Here is a 20,268-nt window from a genome sequence, read left to right on the forward strand (position 1 = left end):
GTCATTTCCAAGCCCATGTTTTACTACTTTGTAACCCTATTTGGAAGGAAAACTGCAGCTAAGATTATGACCCATCCTGCCATGAAAAGTTTCACACATATACACCACATATACCCCCCACCACAGTATGATGACACAGCAACCCAACCTCGGGCAAATGGTACCACTGCCAGCAAATGCATGTTTTCTTTATTTCTTCAAAATGTTTTTTCTTTATTTCTTCTAATAGCAGCAAATGCATTTAACATTTTATTGAGATTCTCAACAGCTGTCATTTGGTTTGTATAGCAAATTGTTTACAAAGTAACCTTTTTCCATTTTTGATATTTTAATGAAAATTATGTTCTTCAGTTTTAAAGCCCCATCCCTCTCCCAAAGAAAGGTTAATAACTAACTACCAAGTAATGATTATTTAGGAAAAGAAGAAAAGCAAAACCAGCTTGTAAACACTTCTGGAATGTGGGTAAGGGGCCAAAGTCAAGCCCTTCTGGGCCCAGTGCAGGTGCTAGGCTTGCCTCGGGACACCATCAGCACTTCCCCATCCACAACATCCTCAACAGCTGGGAGCCATGTGTGGACCCAGGGGGCTTCCTGTTCCACAAGCTCCCCTCTCTTTTTCCTCTCCACGCTTGCTGTTGGGCCTCCCTTCCAAATCTGCCTAACAAAGGCAGCAGGATCTTTAATACTGTTCAGCTTTGTCAATGGAGACAGGATACTCTAGAAAGTTGAGAGATCCCTGGTCCAGTCTGGGGGAGGAAAAAATATACAGTGTAGCATAGATGGTTTTACTTGTCCATTCAGACACATGCTCATACTTATTAGATGGATGTATCAGATGCTTCAAAAGTCCTGATGTGTAGTAGCACAAAAGCTGCTTGTAAAAAAAGAAGTTGCAAAATGATAAAAATTTCTGCAGCAGTTCAGGCTCCTGATGACAAAGCTGGTTCTGATAAGTAGTTCTTTTGACATGCACAGCAGCTTTCACTGTAAGTCCTGTGTTCCAGCGGTTTCATTTAGACCATAGGAAGTTGAAAGTAAAGTTTAAATGTTCTCTGCTGACAAAATGTGGTATATATCCATCAATGGACTTCTACTCAGTAATGAAAGGAACAAACTACCAAAACCTGTTATATGTCATGGACCAACCTCAAAAACATTAGCTAAGTAAAAAAGCCAGACACTTATTGTATAATTCCATTGATTTGAAATGTCCAAAAAAGGCAAGTTGATAGAGACGGAAATGGTCTGATTTACCTCAAGAGGTAGGGATTCAAGCTCTCTAGAGTACATGTGATACATACATGAGAAAAAATAAGGAAAAGAAAATAAATTTATATGTAAATAAATGAAAATAATACTTCTCCCTGATTATAAAGAAAATCACTTTCTTTTTGTAATAATTTGGAAGACAAAATATGAAGAAAAGTCTTAAATTTTGCCACTCAAAACATTCTGGTTTGTTGCTTTTTGTATTTTTTATGCATATGAACATTTTAAAAAGTAGAATTGTAATATATAGTCTTTTGTCACTGTGTTTTGGGCATATTTCTATGGCAGTAAATATATCCTTGGCATCATCCTCTTTAAAAGCCCGATGTATATTAAGTTAATCATTGCCACCCCAGAAGTAAATTTTCTTATACAAATATAGTTTAATGGACGCAAGCAAGCATTTTTGGGCTGAATTCATAGAAGTAGAATTTCTGGAGGAAAATAACATAAAGCAGTTTTAAGATTTTTAATAGAAATTTTCAAATTATCCTGCAGAAAAATTGGTTCAGTTTATACTCCCAACAGGGGCAGAGCTCCAGTGTCCCCTTCCATTTGTCCTCTTTGCTGGTATTTAAGCAGAAAATCTCATTGTTTTCATTACATTTATTTGGTTTCTAGTGCTTTTGAACCTTTTTTTTTTTTTTTTTTTTTTTGAGATGGACTCTTGCTCTATAGCCCAGGCTGGAGTGTAACAGTGTGATCTTGGCTCACTGCAACCTCCACCTCCTGGGTTCTGGGTTCAAGAGATTCTCCTGCCTCAGCTTCCCGAGTAGCTGGGATTACAGGTGCCCACCACCATGCCTGGCTAATTTTTGTATTTTTTAGTAGAGACGGGGTTTCACCATGTTGATCAGGCCAGTCTTGAACTCCTGACCTCAGGTGATCCACCCACCTCGGCCTCCTAAAGTGCTGAGATTACAGGCGTGAGCCACTGTACCTGGCCTTGAATCTTTTTTATATGCTTATTGGCCATTTTTATTCTTGTGGGAAATGTCTGTTTCTCCATTGCCTGTTTTCTGGCCAACCTCCAAAGTCACATTTCACTTTTATCCTGTTGATTGAAAGCATTTTAACTTAGTGATTTTTTAACATAACCAGGAGCAGGACAGACTGTAATTATCTAGATCTTGCTCTGTCACCCAGGCTGGAGTGCAGTGGCATGATCATAGCTACTGCAGTCTCATACTCCTGAGCTGAAGCAATTTTCCTACCTCACCCTCCCAAGTAGCTAGGACTACAGGTGTGTGCCACCATGCCCAGCTAATTTTTTAAATTTTTTTATAGAGATGTGAATTCGCTATGCTACCCAGGCTGTTCTTGAACTTCTGACTTCAAGTAATCCTCCCACCTTGGCTTGTCAAAGTGCTGGAATTACAGGTGTGAACTACTGCTCCCAGCCAAGAGCTCATTTTGTTTGCTAGTGGTGTTCTTGGTATCTTTTTATATTTGAGGCTTTGGTGCTAGTGCTGAAGTATTACACTCACCATCCGAGGTTTAAAGGACTTTTGCGGTAATATTGAACAGATGGAACTGTTAAGTTCTGCATCTTTGCAGGCATACAAAATGTGCCTACCAGGACTCTGCTTTATAGCCATTGATAGCAAGAAGTAATACAGTAAAACTTTGCCTTACTAGAGGCTTTGAAAGAATGGAGTATTCTGATTTAATTCTATTAACTTGGAAGTATGAAGGTAAAAAGAATTCAAAACTTACATTTCCTGTTGAATGCAATTTGAAAATATAGCCAATGATTCCACTTTTCTTCTCTAGTAAGTTTGGACATTCTGATCTACTTGCTGTTTTATTATAGAACTGCTAGTGTGCCTGAGACTTACATTGTGAAGACACTTTTTAAAAAACTTGAGCGGTAAGAGGGTGTAAATGGTATTGTGTGAGATCAGGCTGGATGAGAACTGACACTTGTAAACATACTTTTTAGGCTGAATCTCTGATTGCCATTTGTTTTCTTATTTAACTCATAAAAATAAAACACATTGGATGGAGGGTGGGAGTAGGAAGGAGATTTATGTCTTTTAATTGCATGTCATTGTTTCATATCAAGACAGAACATATGGTATCCTTGGCTTTGGACCTACAGAGGAAACACATTTTTCTACCTGCCGTATGCCAGAGGTTCTTGAACACCTGGAGGGATGACTGCAGCACAGATTGCCGAGCCCTACTCCAGAGTTTCTGATTCACCAGGTCTGGGGTGGGGCCTGAGAATTTGCACTTATAAAAGGTTCTCAGGTTCTGCTGGTGCTGCCAGTCCAGAGACTACATTTTTGAGAACCACTCTTGTCTACTAACTGTAAATTGTAGAACTCTAGAACAAAGCTTAGTTTGGTGTAGGAAAAGACGCTCACAGGTTATGGAGCAAATCATGAAAGATTCAACCCTTGATCCCAGCCTAGTGTGGAATTCAGGTAACAATCAATACACAGTGACATAACACAATTCTTGGTTTTCATGATTGCAAGTCATAGCCAAGTATCAAGTGAGAAATTCAGTTTCATTTGCAAGGCTTAGAGAGGCCAGGTGATTCTAGAAAAATAGGCCTTGTATTTACTTTAAACCAGTAAAGAACTTTGAGTGCTTATTAAATGGCAAGCTTTGTGTTTTTATTTATTTTTTTACTATTTTATTTTTTTTGAAATGGAGTTTCACTCTGTCGCCCAGGCTGGAGTGCAGTGGCATGACCTTGGCTCACTGCAAACTCCACCTCCCGGGTTCAAGTGATTCTCCTGCCCCAGCGCTGGGATTACAGGTACCCACCACCATACCTGGCTAGTTTTTGTATTTCGAGTAGAGACAGGGTTTCACCATGTTGGCCAGGCTGGTCTTGAACTCCTGACCTAAGGTGATCCACCCACCTACGCCTCCCAAAGTGCTGGGACTACAGGTGTGAGCCACCACATCCAGCCCAAAAGCTTTGTGTTTTTAAAGATATTAGACATGTTTCTTGTTTTTTAAAAAATCTTAACAATGTAGGAGAATAAGAGAAATGTTTTTCCAAAAAAGAGAAATCATGGTGATCATTTTACCTTATTGGAATGTTGGATAATATAGTCCGCTTCATTATTCATCAAACATGCTATGGATTTTCCATTTTTATAGGATTTATGTCTCAATTGAGGTAATACTGGTAATTCTTATACTCCATCTGAAGATGAAAAATGTAGGCCACAATCATAGACCATGCATAGGAGCTGGATAATGAAGACAGCTCTGGAGGAACATGTAGACACACACACACTGACACACATATATATAAAGTATAAATACATATTTTTTAAAGTTTATTTTTAAAGTTTTAAAGCAAAAGCCGGCCCCTCCCCTCTCCCAGAGTAGGCAGGCCCCACCCCTCTCCCCAAGTGGGTGGGGACAGCATTTGCATAGGCAGCTTTCCCTGTGATGCCACAGGTTCCTCGGGACAAACTGCTGCCTGGCCATGCCTCCTTTCCCTTTCATCTTTCTCATTGACCAATGGGCTTGGAGCATTAAGGCCACACCCCTATTCTGTGTTCTAGTGGGGCCCTGGTTACGCCTCCTCTGGCTCAGTCACACAGGTGCCTGATACGTGACTGGAGGTGTTCGCTGATGTGGCCCCAACCCTGCCTTCCTCCCCACCCCACGATGTTAGAAGAAACTCAACAGAGTAAATTGGCAGCAGCCAAGAAAAAGGTAAAACACACGAGTTCATGGCCCCCCAACCCAGCCAGAGATCCCTCCAATGACAAGACCACTGCTAGAGTCCATACCACTCCTGAGGCATACCGGGCTGGGCCCCCCCAATTTGGGGCCTCTGGACTCCCCCCACCAAAGTCTTGTCAGTCAGCCCTGCCCCTTCAAGCAAGCAGCCCAGCCCCTGCCCTCACCAACCACCCCAGGGTGACTTTGGGTGGGTGACTCCTAGTGCTCCCTGCTCCACACTCTGCCCTCATGTCCTGCCACCCCAAGCCTGACCTCCCTGGGTTCTTTGGGCTCATCTCTCCAAGGACCTGGGTCCCCAGCCCCAGCCCCTCCCGTCACCAGTCATCCCTGGGTGACTTTGGGCTGGTGATTCCTGGGGTTCCCTGCTGCAGACTCTGCTCTCCCCTCCTGCTGACCCAAGCCCAACATCCCTGGGCTATTTGGACTGGAGTCTCCAAGGACCTGGGTCCCAGCCCTAAGTCCCCCTCCCCCATCGTGGATCGGTGACTCAGCCATCACACTGATGAGGTTTCCCCCACCCCCAGGAGGAGTGGAATGTAGTGATGTCACAGTCCCCCTAGGAACTGTCATTACTGCTGCAAGACCAGCCTTTGATCTTATGACCCAATCCCCTAAGCATTCTCCCCCCATTTCTGGTTCCTCTGGTTGCAGCACAAATTTCCAGCTGGAAGGGGAATGGGGACTATGGGACCTAAGAGCAAGAGGTTTCAGGCTGCTTTATTCCCTTCACATAGACGTTGACAGTGTGAAAAGCCTACACTTCCCCCGTGAGCTCAAAATGTTGACAGTATCTCTGGGTGACAATGGAAAATGGGTTTGGTTTTGTTTTCTCCCAGGCTTCTACTCTCCAGAGAGACTTCAACATTTTTTTCTGAGTTCTCCACCTCATATTCTAATTCTCCATGGTTCTGGGACCAGACTGCCCTTCAGTCAGTGGTCTCTGAAGTGAGATTAGCTCATCTTCTATGGAATAGATCTTGGAAAACTAAACTTGACAGCTTGAATCTTCCTCATATCATCTCAACTTGGGGTACATTGAGTGCCACAGGATAAATGCGGGAGATCTTTCTGAAGCATCAGTTTCCCTTGATTCTCTTGAGACAGAAAAAACATTAATATACTTAGGGATGACCCTCACATAGGTTTCTAAGAGTATACCAGACTTTTCTCTGAAATGAGATGGGTTGTACTCTTTCTGATAAATTCCCAGATTTAACAAAAAAGCTGCCTTCTGCCATGAGGACACATAGATATAAAAGTTTGAGAGGTACTGGTGCACTTCTTCACACTAACAGACATGTGAGGATGTATGACTCTAAACCACAGAGTGTGCAGTTCCTGCCTACTTAATGTTTACTTTTCTACTTCTGCCTCTGGTTTTGGTCCCTGGCAGCTGCTGATTCATGGCAAAACCCCAGAGCTTGGAGTCAGAAGACTGAGTTTAAGTTCCATTATTGCCCCCTCCTTTTTTAGCCATAATATCAATCTCTCTCAGTCACTAAGTGATTGTGACAACACATTGTACAGTTGTTAGTGGCATTAAATCAGATGGTGTATAAGAGTATTTTGCAAAAACTGTAAAGGAGGCTGTGGCTGTAGGGACTGGTAGTTCTCATGTGTATTACTGTTCTTCTTTCCCACAGCTAAAAGAATATCAGCAGAGGAACAGCCCTGGTGTTCCAGCAGGAGTGAAGATGAAAAAGAAAAACACTGGCAGTAGCCCTGAGACAGCCACTTTTGGTGGTTGCCACTCACCTGGGGCTGTGAGTCTTGGCTGGCCAGGCTCCTGGGGACAGGGGGCCCAAGGGGCAGTAGAGGGTAATTGTTGAGATTGCTGGGTACTGGTTAAGAATTCTGGGTTTGAATCCTGCTTCTCCATCTTCTAGGGATCTGATTTACAGCAAATTGCTTGAGCTCTTTGGGCCTGTCTTTTCACATCTGTACAATAGGGGTAGTATTGTTTGACTTCCATTTGTAAAGTTTAAATGAGATTCCTTATTGCTGTTTTTATGTTAATCCCTAGTACATGGTCTGCTGTAAAGACCAAGGATACCCAGGAAATGGTCATTGCTCTTTGATTTTCCTGATCCCCATTCTCAAGGGGAAGCTGGGCCAATGAGTACAGCCACTTGCCATCAGGCTGTCCCCTATAGGAGTCACTGAAGGGGCCTGGTGTGGTGAGGAGAGTCCCGGGTACTAGGAGTAAGAGAAGATCTAAGTTGCCACCAGCTTGCTGGGTGACCACAGAAAAATTGCTTCTTCCCCTGGGCCTCAGTTTCCTCCTCTGTAAGATGATACTGGATAAGATCAGTGCCTTTCAAACTTGTTTTTTAGCTGGAGCCCCCTTAGTTCCAGTGAACCCTTACTCAGAAGTCTGGTTTTTTTAATGGAGGTGGAGGTCTGGAGCTCTACCAGATTCATCACCCACGTCCTGGGCCTGAGGAGAGGGGTTCAGTGAGCATATGAAGAGCTGCATTGGTCAGGTGACTCCACTCTGTGACTGCATTGTTCAGGAGACTTTTCCATCTATTTGTTCCTGCCCTGGCAAGGCAGCAGGTGGCCATTTCAAAGAGTGGGACAGGCCAAGGTTTTAATCTCCTCTGCTCTTCTTCAGCATTTCATTTTCCTGAACCCACATCCTCCTCCTACCCTGACTTTCTTGCTTCTCTCTAAGACACTTCTGTCTTTCTCCCCCTGCCCTTGTTTTTTCCTTTTCACCTCCTGTAGATTCAGGACATTCTGAAGGTGCTGGTGTCCAATCTTAACCATTCCAATGGGGTAGCACTCCCCCATTGGATAAGTGGAAGGTGAGGCAGTGCCAAGACCCTTCTCTGGCTTGCTGTCTCCGGCTATGCATGGCCCTGAGGCTTCTGTGGTTTGGGGGATACCTTTCCTCTGCCTTGTTTTATGTTGCTGCCATTGACCTTCAGCCTGTTTATGTCTGCTTCTTCACCTGCTTGATTGATTGGGTTTTTTCCTTCCCTGCATCTTTTATCATCTTAGAAATGGTGAGATATACCTTAAAGTTTAAAAGTAATTTGGGAATAATGTACAGAGCAGGCATATGGGCTTTGGAGCCTTTTTTTTTTTTTTTTTTTTTTTTGAGACAGGGTCTCACTCTCTCACCCAGACTGGAGTGCAGTGGTGCAATCTCGGCTCACTACAACCTCTGACTCCTGGATTCAAGCAATTCTCTTGCCTTAGCCTCCTGAGTAGCTGGGATTACAGGCACTTGCCACCACGCCTGGCTAATCTTTGTATTTTTAGTAGAGATGGGGTTTCACCATGTTGGCCAGGCTGGTCTTGAACTTCTGACCTCAAGTGATCCACCCACCTCAGCCTCCCAAAGTGCTGGGATTACGTGCATGAGCCACCATGCCTGGCTCATTGCTGTTTTTATACTTTCTCTATATCCATAACTGTTTCCCATGTAAGTTTTTGTTTTTTTGAATTTCTCATTTTTATTACTTCTGCATCATCTGTTACCCTGAAGGATCTGGAGGTAAGAGGCCCTGGGCCAAGGTGCAGTGACCCTGCAGGCCAGCCCTCCAACCTCCTTTCACAGCAGGGGCTAGGTGCCCCTCTGCCAGCTGAGACAGCCCACACACACCCCAGCCCTAATGATTGTTCTCTCCACCTCTCCCCACAATCCTCCTCCAACTCCTCCTCTCTGCATGCGCCTCAGAGTCGGTACCAAGAACTGGAATTAGCCCTGGACTCAAGCTCCGCAATAATCAATCAACTCAATGAAAACATAGAATCATTGGTAAGAGTCCAGTAGGGTCCCCTGAGTCCATGCTTCTATTCCTGGGCTTTAGTTTCCCCTTGGGGTCCTGAAGAAAGGGGCTGGGGGGCCCTGGTGCCAAGGGCAAATGGGGAGCTGGAGCACCCAGGCCTCACCTGGAGGGACCCCAGAGCAAGGAGCATGCAGCATGGCTCTTCTGTTGCTGCCCTCTTTGCCAACTCTCTCTTCTCTAGATATCCCTGCTCCAGTCCTTGCCACACTCGCCCTGGGGTTGTCGTCTCTCAGGGAAGTACTAGCCTGACTGGTTGTCAGGGAACCTGCGTTTCTACCCTGAGTCAGTCCCTAATTTGCTCTTTGAGTTTGGACAAGCCACCTGTCCTCCTTGGGCTCGTGTTTCCGGAGAAGGTAGAGCATCAAAGGTCTCTATTAGCTCTGAGAATCTGAGATTTAAAGGCCTCCAGAATGGAAACCTCAGGGTCAATGGCTCCTGTCTGTCCTTTTCCATCCTATATCTGCTGTGAAGAAGCATACCTGGCCCATACGTGCTCAGTAAATGTTTGTTGAATGAAGGCACCTTTCTAAATCACAAACTGGCAGAAGAGTGGGCATTTCTCAGACTCCATCTCTAGAGGTTTATGTTACTGTCCTTTCAAGAGAATCCAGATTCAGACTTTGAGTTCTGTGGCTGTGGGTGAAAACCAACAAAGACCCACATCCTCTGTCCTTGGGAGCTTGAGGAGAGTTGACCAGTTCGTGTTGCCACTGGGTCTGAGAATGTTGCCTTTAAAATCCATTGCTGGCCCCTGCCTACCGCTTCCTGGTCTGGGAAATAGAGTTGAGGGGGCCACTCTCAGTCACCTGAATTTGACTCTCCCCACAGAAACAACAGAAGAAACAAGTGGAACATCAGCTGGAAGAAGTAACGTGATTTTTTGTTTGCTCACAACGTGACTGCTGGGTTTGGGGGGCACTCAGATGCAGAGGCGCCAGTCTCATCTTGCCCTCTCCCAGCCTGGGGAAGAAGGCTCACCCCTCAGATTCCACCCCATCCCCACAGGGTCCCTGATAACCTGGTCCCATGGGTGGGCCTGTCCTGGGGCATTGGTGGCATTCTGGGAGCATGTCTCTTGCTGTGCCATCTCGGCCTCCCCCTAGTAAGAGCTCTGTCTTCCTCTTCCTATAGGAAAAGAAAACCAACAGTGAAATACACAAAGCACAGATGGAGCAGTTAGAGGTGAGTGGAGGGTGGGGAGCTTTCTCCTGTCCTCTGGAGAATATTTCTTTCCTTCTCTTTCAGCATTTGCTTGGCTTTTCTCCCAAACATTCAATTCCAGGCAATCGACATCCTCACATTGGAAAAGGCAGACTTGAAGACCACCCTTTACCATACTAAACGTGCTGCCCGACACTTCGAAGGTGGGAACCTGGGCACCCCATCATCCTTCAACCTGTCACTTTGACAGGTCTTTAGGGGGAGTCCTTTGGGCCCCATCTCAACCTCTCTCATTACAGAAGAGTCCAAGGATCTGGCTGGCCGCCTGCAATACTCCTTACAGCGTATTCAAGAATTGGAGCGGGCTCTCTCTGCTGTGTCTACACAGCAGCAGGAAGAGGACAGGGTGAGTCCAACCAGCAGCCCCATCCCCTGGCAGCCTGGCTTCCCAGATTGAGGAGTGAGCCTAAAGGTCCCTTCTGCAGGACGGAGTGTCCTGCCCAGAAGGCAGCATGGTCATTTCTCGCTACTTTTGTGTATGGCTGTTAGAGGCAGCTGCTGTGGGTGAGTTGGGGGGCACTGTGGAGAGTGAGCACTGGATGCAGAGCTCAGAGGCCAAGTGCTTGCCCTGCCCTTTCCTGGCTGTGGCCTTGGCCAAGTCCTAGGTGGGGTATTGGGTACTTATACTGTGAAGGTACAGAAGAGTACCTTTAGTATGTTACCATTTCTGTAGAGAGAAGAAAGGGGTGTGTGTGTGTGTGTGTGTGTGTGCGTGTACTATGATGATATACAAAAACATGTCTGCAAGGGTTCATAAAAAACTCAGGAGAGAGTAACAGGGTGGCTGGGAGACTCTTCCCTTCTGTATCTTCTGAGTTTTGGACTATGCGAATGTATCATCCTTTCAAAAAGTGAACAAAAGATTAATTTCCCCCTCCTATCTGTGTCCCCACCCCCAGCAAGAAAAATGGGCTTAGAGAATAGGATAGACCTGGGTGTTCAAATCCCAGCTCTGTCTAAGTGATCTTAGGCAAGCACTTAACCTTGAACACTCGATGTTTTTCATCTACACAATAGAGGTAATCCTAGTAACTGTGTCATATGGTGGTTGTGAGGATTAAATGGGATTGCTAGCATGGAACCTGGTGAAGCACTCCATAACGGTTCAAACAGTGGTAGTAATAACAGTAATAACAATAGCAATATTATCTGATCTCTCTGGGCCTCTGTTAGCCAGCTGTAAATTCGATCTCTTTCCCTGTCCCTTCCAACTTTACTGAGTTCTTTTAAAAATTGGGCCATGGGCTTGGAAATGCCTTGATCTTTACTAACCGAGTTGTATATTGAGCCTAGCCCTAGCCCTTTTAAGGGGCACTGCCCGGGATCCCCAGATCAAAACTTCTCACTCTTCACCCTCCAGTCCTCGAGCTGCAGAGAAGCGGTCCTCCAGTGGCGGTTACAGCAGACCATAAAGGAGCAGGCACTGCTGAACGCACACGTGACACAGGTGATGCTTTGCAGAGGGAGGGATGTGGAAGGAAGATGACCCCAGGTGGCCAGGAGCAGGTGAGGACCAGTGACAGCCCTTCCTAACTTGTGTGCCCATTCTTGCAGGTGACAGAGTCACTTAAACAAGTCCAGCTAGAGAGAGATGAATATGCTCAACATATAAAAGAAGAGAGGGCCCGGTGGCAGGAGAGGATGTGGAAAATGTCGGTGGGGGTGAGGTCTGACCCTTCAGCCCCCACTTTAGATAGGTCACTGGATCTTTCTGGGCATCTGTAAAATGGGAATAGTACAGCCAGAGGTGGTCATGGGTCTCGGCTTTGTGGAGGTGGGGACACAGAGGGAGATGGTAGCCTGTCCAGCCACCAGCCCCTCTCTCCAGGGCCCTTTCCCATGTGCTTTGGGCAGGCTCGCACATTGAAGAAGGAGAAGAAGCGTGTCATACATCAGATACAGGAGCTGGAGAGGAGCTTGTCCAAACTCTCTATGTGAAAGTGGCTTGGAAATTGGCTACCGTCGGGTGGGAGGAATCGTTAGCAGTGAGGCCAAGTTTGGGAAGCCTGAGAGGAGCTGTGCATCAAGAGGAGGGTTTTTTTTGGAGGGGGGGTGGGGAATCCAGAGGCCCTTATTGTCTGCTTTGTTTCTCAGCTGAGCCCCCATCCCCGGCACCCCCAGCAGTGACCTCTGTGGTGGAGCAGCTACAAGATGAGGCCAAACACCTGAGGAAGGAGGTGGAGAGTTTGGAGGGAAAGCTCCAATCCAAGGTGGAAAACAACCAGGCCTTGAGTCTCCTGAGCAAGGAACAAAAGTAGAGGCTCCAGGAGCAGGACGAGAGGCTCCGAGAGCAGGAGGAGTGGAGGGTGCGGGAGCAGGAGAGACTGTGTGAGCAAAATGAGAGGCTTCGGGAGCAGCAGAAGACGCTACGGGAGCAGGGTGAGAGGCTGCGAAAGCAGGAGCAGAGGCTATGCAAGCAGGAGGAGAGGCTGCGAAAGGAGGAGGAGAGGCTGCGAAAGCAGGAAAAGAGGCTGTGGGACCAGGAGGAGAGGCTGTGGGACCAGGAGGAGAGGCTGTGGGAGAAGGAGGAGAGGCTACAAAAGCAGGAGGAGAGGCTCATGCTCTCCCAGAACCACAAGCTCGACAAGCAGCTGGCCGAGCCACAGTGCAGCTTCGAGGATCTGGTGGGTTGCCCCACCTGGGGAGCCTGCCCTCATCCCTATCTATCCAGGCCTTTGTTTCCCCACCTGTAAAATGGGGCAGTGTAGCTCTCACATGAAATGGTACTTCTAAAGGCACCTGTGAGCCAGAGCTCATCAGGCCTTGCTCTGATGGCTGTGGGGGAGAAGGGATGATTTTTCTAACCTGCCTCCACCCTTCCTGGTGACATGGGAGGCAGACACCAAGTTCTGGTGTCTCCAGCTGCAGTGGATGGCCACTGATTGCTTCTCTCTGTCCAGAATAACGAGAACAAGAGCGCACTGCAGTTGGAGCAGCAAGTAAAGGAGCTGCAGGAGAGGCTGGGCGAGAAGGAGACAGTAACCTCTGCCCCATCCAAGAAGGGCTGGGAGGTGGGCACCAGCCTCTGGGGAGGGGAGGTGCCAGGCCAAAGGCAGCTCCAGCTGGGGGGCAGCTGACCCCAGCACCCTCCAGGGCAGCCCTATGACTGTTTCTTGCTTCCTGCCCTCTGACTTTTAGAGGTGGGTAGCCCTGGGCTCCTCCCAGGTCTCAAAATCATCATCCCAGCTAGAGGCATGGATTCCCCCAGTCATAGGGGAAGAGACAGTGGTATAAGAGGCTCCTTATGCCAGGCATGGTGGCTCATGCCTGTAATCCCAGCACTTTGGGAGGCTGAGGCAGGAGAATCACTTGAGGTCAGGAGTTTGAGACCAGCCTGGCCAACATGGTGAAACCTCATTTCTACTAAAATTACAACAACAATGAAAAATGGTGATGTATGCCTGTAATCCCAGATATGAGAATCACTTGAGCCTGGGAGGTGGCGGTTGCAGTGAGCTGAGATTGCACCACTGCACTCCAGCCTGGGCCACAGAGTGACACTCTGTCTCAAAACAAAACAAAACAAAAAAGCCTCCTTGGATTCAAACTGGATTCTGGCCTCGGTTCCACTGGTGACCATTCAACTACTTTTCATCTCTAGGTCTCTGTTTCTTTAACTTCAAAAGGAAGTTAGCATTTTCCTTGCAGAGGTGCTGAGGATTGAATGAGAGAATACATGGAAAGCATTAGGCATGTAGCACACTTAGCAGATGGTGGTTGGCTCCCTCTGCTTTTCCACCAGTCTGTGGCCTACAGTTTAAATGGGGGGGAAAAGGACATGAGATTTGAGGCTAGGGAAGGAGGTATGGGGTTCTAGGCAAGGGAGGAAGTCTCTTAAGCCTGGAGCAAGGGGCCAGGGGCCTGGGCAGGTGACAGAGCCCCACAGGCCCTCTCTACCCTATTAATGGGCCCAGAATCTGGAAGCCAGCCACCACGTGCCCTCATGCCCAGGGCCTTCCTGCAGGTGAAGCTGAAGAGCCAAGAGTCTCAGAGTCTGCAGCAGCAGCGAGACTAGTACCTGGGACACCTGCAGCAGTACGTAACCACCTATCAGCAGCTGACCTCTGAGAAGGAGGCGCTGCACAGGCAGTTACTGCTGCAGACCCAGCTCATGGACCAGCTGTAGCAGCAGGAAGCTTGGGGCAAAGCGGTGGCTGAGATGGCCCACCAAAAGTTGCAGGAGACCTAGGGGAGGGTGTTGCTGAGGACAGGGCCCCGAGGGGGATGACCTGGCAACCTCTGTGCCTTCTCACTCTGTTTTCCATCCCCTTAGGAACCAGCTGCCAGCCACCAGAACCAACAGCTAGAGACCCAGCTAAGCCTCGTGGCTCTCCCTGGAGAAGGTACAGGAGACCACTCAGAGGAAGAGGAGAGAGCCCCAGGAGGAAGGGGGGACTGTTAGCAGCATAGGATTGAGGGGTTGGAAGAGATCTTTAGAACAGCTGGTCGTTATGCCAACCGGGTGTCCGCACTAAGTTCAGCATCAATATGGTGACCTCCTAGGAGCAGGGGGCCATCAGGTTGCCTAAGGATGAGTGAACTGGCCAGATCAGAAAGGGAGCAGGTCAGAACTCCTGCACTGACCAGTAATGGGACTGTGCCTGGGCAATATAGCAAGATCTTGTTCTTAAAAGGAAAAATAAAGGACAGCAGCTCATTCCCCTCTGGGGAGAGGCTGGCTCAGGGTTACACATTGAGGGTGGGGACAGAGGTAGGCCCAGAGTACCTCCCTTGTTGGGTTGTCTGAGGATCCCTCTGGCCACCTCCCCACAGGAGATGGAGGACAACATCTGGACAGTGAGGAGGAGGAGGCGCCTCGGCCCACGCCAAACATCCCAGAGGACCTGGAGAGCCGGGAGGCCACGGTGAGCCTGACTTTCCCTGCCCCGCTTTGCCACCTTCCTCTGTGGTCCCTCCCAGACCCCCTTATGCTCTTGGTTTCCCACCTTCTGATTTCTCTGGCCCCTCACCCCTTCCGGGAGCCAGTGATCAGACACCATTTCACCTGTGACCAACAGGTGCGCTCTCTGAGGCCCCAAGGGAAGGGGCTGTGCTCCACCTCCCTGCCTCATTTGTTCTGTGTATGCCCCTACAAGAATACTCACCTCTTGCCTTCAAGTGGCATTTTTCAACTCTGCTGGAGCCAGTTCCCAGGAGGAGCAGGCACGGCTATGTGGGCAGTGGAAGGTGCGAAGGCTGTGCCACCTGCACCTGGCTCATCTGGTGGCCTTGGCCTGGAAGGAGCCAGAGGCAGAGGCCCCAGCCCCAGGGACTGGGGGTGACTTTGTGTGTGGGGAGAGCTACCAGGCCCTCAAGGAGGCTATGGAGAAGGTGAAGGTGAGTGAGTCCTGGCAAGGGCCAAGAAAAGTAGGGGCAGGGCAGGACAGGTCACTCCCGAGATGTGACCCCATTATTTTGGCTCCAGAGCGGCTTTATGGACCTCCCGAAGGAGAAGGTGGGCAGGAAGGAGCAGGTGGAAAAACTAGAGCTTGGATTCATCCAGCTCTCTGGAGCGACAGACGGCATGAGTGAGCGGGAGGCCAGGGCACGGCAGGGGGAGCTGCAGGGCTGTCGGAGGGACCCCAGCGTCTGAGCCGTGTCCTCTCACAGGAGAGTACATCACTGAATATGAGAGCCAGGGGGCAGTGCCAAACACGCGGCACCAGGAGAAGGAAGACATCATCAGGCTGGCCCAGAAGGAGGAGGAGATGAAGGTAGGGCGTGCAACATCTCTGCAGGGGTAGGGGTGGGCGTGGGCACTGGAGCCGGCTCCGGTGTGGCGGCTGAGCACCCCTCCCTTCAGGTGAAGCTGCTGGAGCTGCAGGAGCTGGTGTTGCCCCTTGTGGGCGACCACGAGGGGCATGGCAAATTCCTCACCGCTGCCCAGAACCCTGCCGATGAGCCCGCTCCAGGGGCCCCAGCCCCCCAGGAACTTGGGGCTGCCGATGAGCAGGGTGGTGAGTAGAGCCCTCAGGCGGGGTGGGCAGGCAGGAGCAGGGGAGGCTGGCGCTGCCCTCAGACCCCCGCCTCCCTCTCTCTGAAGATTTTTATGAAGTGAGCCTGGACGATAGCGAGGAGCCTGCACCGGGAGCGGCCGGGGAGGGTTCTCCCCATGACAACCCCACTGCACAGCAGATCGTGCAGCTGCCTCCTGTAATGCAGGACACCCAGGAGCACCCAGGCTTGCCCGGCAACCCCTGTGTGTCATTCTTTTACCAGGCAGCCGAGAACAGGGAGATAAACATCATCATCTAAGAGCTGGTCAAGAAATTAAAAAAAAAAAAAACAAAAAGTTATGGGGTTCATCTCCTACACAATTCATTTACTCCATTTGAATGTTAGAGCCACTCATGTTTATTTGTGTTTCTAATTTACAGTTTAAATTTATTTGTAAAAAGTTAAGGGAGAGTGGGTCTTTCCCTGATGTTCACTCTGGCATCCTTTAGCATTTTTGTTTTTAATTTGATAATTGTAGGTCATTAGCACGCATATCGAGTTTGCCCTTATGTGGTGGGAGTTCAAACACACAAAGACCTACTATTTGCGCAAAACTATTCTTGCTGGTTTGGAACAGGCTGCCATGCTTTTTTAATGTTATTGCAGCACGTATATTCATTACAGAATTCAGATAAAATGTGCTTATGTTCTGCTATTATGTTTGATCGAATCCTAACCACAGTGAGCTCTTCATTAGCTCAATATGTGGTTTGCCCTCAAGTGCGCACCGTTTATTACTTTGTAATATGCCACTGTGAGTACTGACATTTAGAGTTGTTTAAAGGCCGAGAACTGGAAACAGCATTTCCCCTATTTTCTGTGTATTGGGGATGAGAGTAATAACATTTTGGGGAGCTTTTAAAATCTCACAGAAGAGGAAAGTGGCCTGCTCTGGCAGGTGTGTGCAGGATACAGTGTGTTTCATTTGTTCTGGTGCCAAGAATGAGCGCTGTACTGTGGTGGCTTCCTTAGGATTTGTGTGTGCTCTGGGCTCATGAAGATATTGTATCATGAGCTGCAGCAGTTGTACCCTTTCTCGATAACCTAAAAAGGGATTATTTCTGAGGAATGAAAGGCTCCCATCATTGACTGTGGATGTGGAAAACCTTTTCTAGCTTAGAGCATTTATATCTACAATACATTTTAAAGTCAGAGTTCATGTTACCTGTTTTAATCACATGAGTATATGTCCCAGTACACCAAAAGGCACTGCTTGGCATTCTTCTTAATGTATTTAGTGAGGATCATAAGAAATCCTTTAAGAGTTTAAATGTCCCTGGAACAGGCATACGGGCTCTAGTCAAGAATGAATTCGAGTGAAGGAAAGCTGTGTGACACTTGGCCTTCCTCTATGTTCATGGAGCTTCTTTGAGGCTAGAAGATTGATTTTATCATCTAGACCTCTCTGGCTAATACCTATTCTTCAGCCACGTTGGTTTCTCTGACATAGGAATTTACTTCTTTCCCTTGACTGGAAAACACTTTAAAAATAATAAAAACCATTATTATAAACCAATATATGTGAGAGTACTTAGTTGAAACAAAAAGGAGTTTTAGTAGACAGTATTATACTACACATGAAAATCAACGTGAAGTTTATGCAACTTAAAATGTTTACAAGCTGCCGTGCAATCTAATGTTTGTGAATGTCCAAGTATTATGAGGAAAAGTGTCTATACAATTATAGAGTTATATTTCCTCACAGGGTTCTTTACAAAGAGTGAAATATGTTTTTATACCTCTCGGTTTCAGTTAGAGGCATATTTTGTGCCATATTTATGTTAATGTGCCTATACATGATGAATGAATTATTTCAGTCATACATTGCCTAAATCATAACTTTAAGATGCTTGGGAAAGAATCAACAGCTAAAATTTCATGAAGTTCTAAAGTCTGTGTTCCAAAATACGTCACATTATTAGGATGCAGGGAGAGATGCATGTGTGCTCCCTGGGGTGGGCATTTCTAGTGATTAGACCATCTCCATTTTTAGCATTTGGCATCTTCATTGATACTTTTATACATACGACATTAATAGGAGAGCAATAATAAGATTTTACAGATGAAATAACAGATTTGCCTGCAGTCACTGAAAGAGTGCAAATATTGGGTTATTGTGACTTCAACTGACTCTTCCAAATTGTTTGAATTTATCAATGTATTAGATAAACCCAGTTTCAGAATGATAAGGAAAAACTGTTAGACCAAATAATGTGGCTAATTAACAGTGGTACAATTTCTAGCCTGAGGGTTTAAAATGGACTTAAGGTCCTGTTCTTGCCTCCTATTTTGTGAACTTGCCGCTTTTGCATTATTTGAGTTCACTTGAAAGACAGTTACTTTAAGTCCATTTTAAACCCTCGGGCTAGAAATCATACTACTGTTAATTAGCCAACTTATTTGGTCTAACAGTTTTTCTTTATAATTCTGAAACTGGGTTTACCTAATACATTTATAAATTATTTCAAAGGTATTTTTATAGTTCAGATCACTTCACTTTTACCCTGATAAATATAAATGACTAGGAATGACCTTCAGATAGCCTTTAGCACCTGTAACCAATCTGACAATAATGTGTTCATCAGGTACCTATGGATTAAATCACACACTGGCATATTTAAGCTGAATGTCAGTCTGGAAAATGAATGTACTATATTAACTGAAATACCACTCTTTGTGTAGGTATTCTGTCATATATTTAAGAAAAATTAAATAGCATGTAAATCGTATGACAATAACCTAAGTCTTTCTTCAAAGTGCATGCGTTCCTTTGCAATACCTCATTCAGCCAAGTATTTGTTCTCTTCCTCATTCAGTATAAGGCAGCTTTCAATTTGCTTAGAAGGCAATATTGGAAGGTTAGAGTTTATCAGAAACATAGAATTTTAAAGTGTGAGTTCAACTGAATAAATTAGAATTTCTGTAGAAGTGAAGAATTAAAATACCTATTTAAATATTGCAATATATAATAATTTTTAAAGTATTTGATTAAACCTGATAGGTTTTTCCAGAAATGAAAAAAAATCAGTTCTAAAACCAAAGCTGATATTTAGAAAATCTGAAAATGTAAATCAGCCCTATCCATAATATAGTTTCTCTAAAACTTTATCTTAAAGAGTCGTTTTAAAAGAATATAACTATTTAAAAATGTAACTGCTATCTTAATGTTTTGAAATAAGTTAAAACATTTTAAAATATGAATACTGTAGTTTAAAAGAAACCGGGGGAAGGAAAAGTAGAGAAAGAAATTCCAATTCCAATGCAAAGCTTTATTTGCCAAGTTTTCTTAGAATGACTTTTACCAATTTATGAATTCTTGTAAACAGAATGTATAATGGAAATACTGAAACACTGTTGCCTAAAGTGGCATAATTGACTGCTACTGTGATGCTACTGTAATGTAATAAATTATTAAATTGTTGCAAAGTGCTGTTTTTGCCTTAAAATTTTGTGTGTCTTGAAAACTATGGTGTTAAAAGTATTGAAACTGTGCAAATGCTGGGCACGCTTGGCATGAGATAATCGGTTTTTATTTTTACAAAATTGTAACTATGCAAGTGTGTTTATTTAAAGAACACAAACCAAAGTTATGGGATAAAAAATGTTGTGGAATGAAAAAGTTACGGGACAAAAAATGTTGTGGAAAATTTGTGGCAAAAAAAAGTTGTGCAAAAAGGTAGAATAAAGTTTTATGAAAAGTTTTAAAAAAGTATTATGAAAAAGAAGTTATAGGATTAAAAAATAAGTCATGGGATAAAAATAAAAGCGGGCCCTTGTCAGCATAAGCCTGGAGAAGTGGGGCTGGAGTCTCTGCCCCCACCATGTCCCTACCACCCCTTCCCAGTCACCCATTTACCATTAGGGTAGCAAGACAACACCCCTGTCTAATGGGGGGCAGACAAACAGACCCTTTGCCACCTGACCAGGGCTGAGTCCTTACATTTCTGGATGGCAACGTTTGTTACTTAAGAGCTAGAGGCTGGTGGAGTTGGTTTGTTTGGAGGAGGCCTGATGATCTCCCTACTCTCACCAAAGCAACTTTTCCCTCAGGGCGGCTCCCATCTTCTTATTCAGAGAGGCAGCTGAGGCGGGACAGTGGGGCTAACTGTAGAGCAGGCAAGGGCTCAGGCTGCTGGGGTGGACCCCCTTCCGCAGTGTACATATAATGTCTGTGTAACATTTTGTATATGCTTGGGGGTAGGGTCACCCCCTGTATCATACCTAGCGGAGGTTGGAGCTGGCATATGGGGAGGAGGTTCTAATCATT

General features: G+C 46.2%; 2 pseudogenes across 1 annotated transcript; both read left to right on the forward strand.

Moving 5' to 3' along the window:
* Window positions 1-4,831: 4,831 nt before the first annotated feature.
* On the forward strand, window positions 4,832-18,999 carry GOLGA6EP (golgin A6 family member E, pseudogene; annotated as a pseudogene). Its single transcript, XR_932489.3, has 18 exons — window positions 4,832-4,956; window positions 6,630-6,749; window positions 8,672-8,752; window positions 9,612-9,650; window positions 9,915-9,965; window positions 10,066-10,147; window positions 10,244-10,350; window positions 11,365-11,451; window positions 11,559-11,666; window positions 11,859-11,970; window positions 12,099-12,628; window positions 12,905-13,015; window positions 14,278-14,347; window positions 14,778-14,869; window positions 15,430-15,532; window positions 15,615-15,718; window positions 15,808-15,961; window positions 16,048-18,999. The product of XR_932489.3 is annotated as a golgin A6 family member E, pseudogene (transcript).
* Window positions 14,413-14,633, forward strand: RN7SL319P (RNA, 7SL, cytoplasmic 319, pseudogene; annotated as a pseudogene).
* Window positions 19,000-20,268: the final 1,269 nt, after the last annotated feature.

The sequence above is a fragment of the Homo sapiens genome, chromosome 15, assembly GCF_000001405.40.
Source record: "Homo sapiens chromosome 15, GRCh38.p14 Primary Assembly".
NCBI lineage: Eukaryota > Metazoa > Chordata > Mammalia > Primates > Hominidae > Homo > Homo sapiens.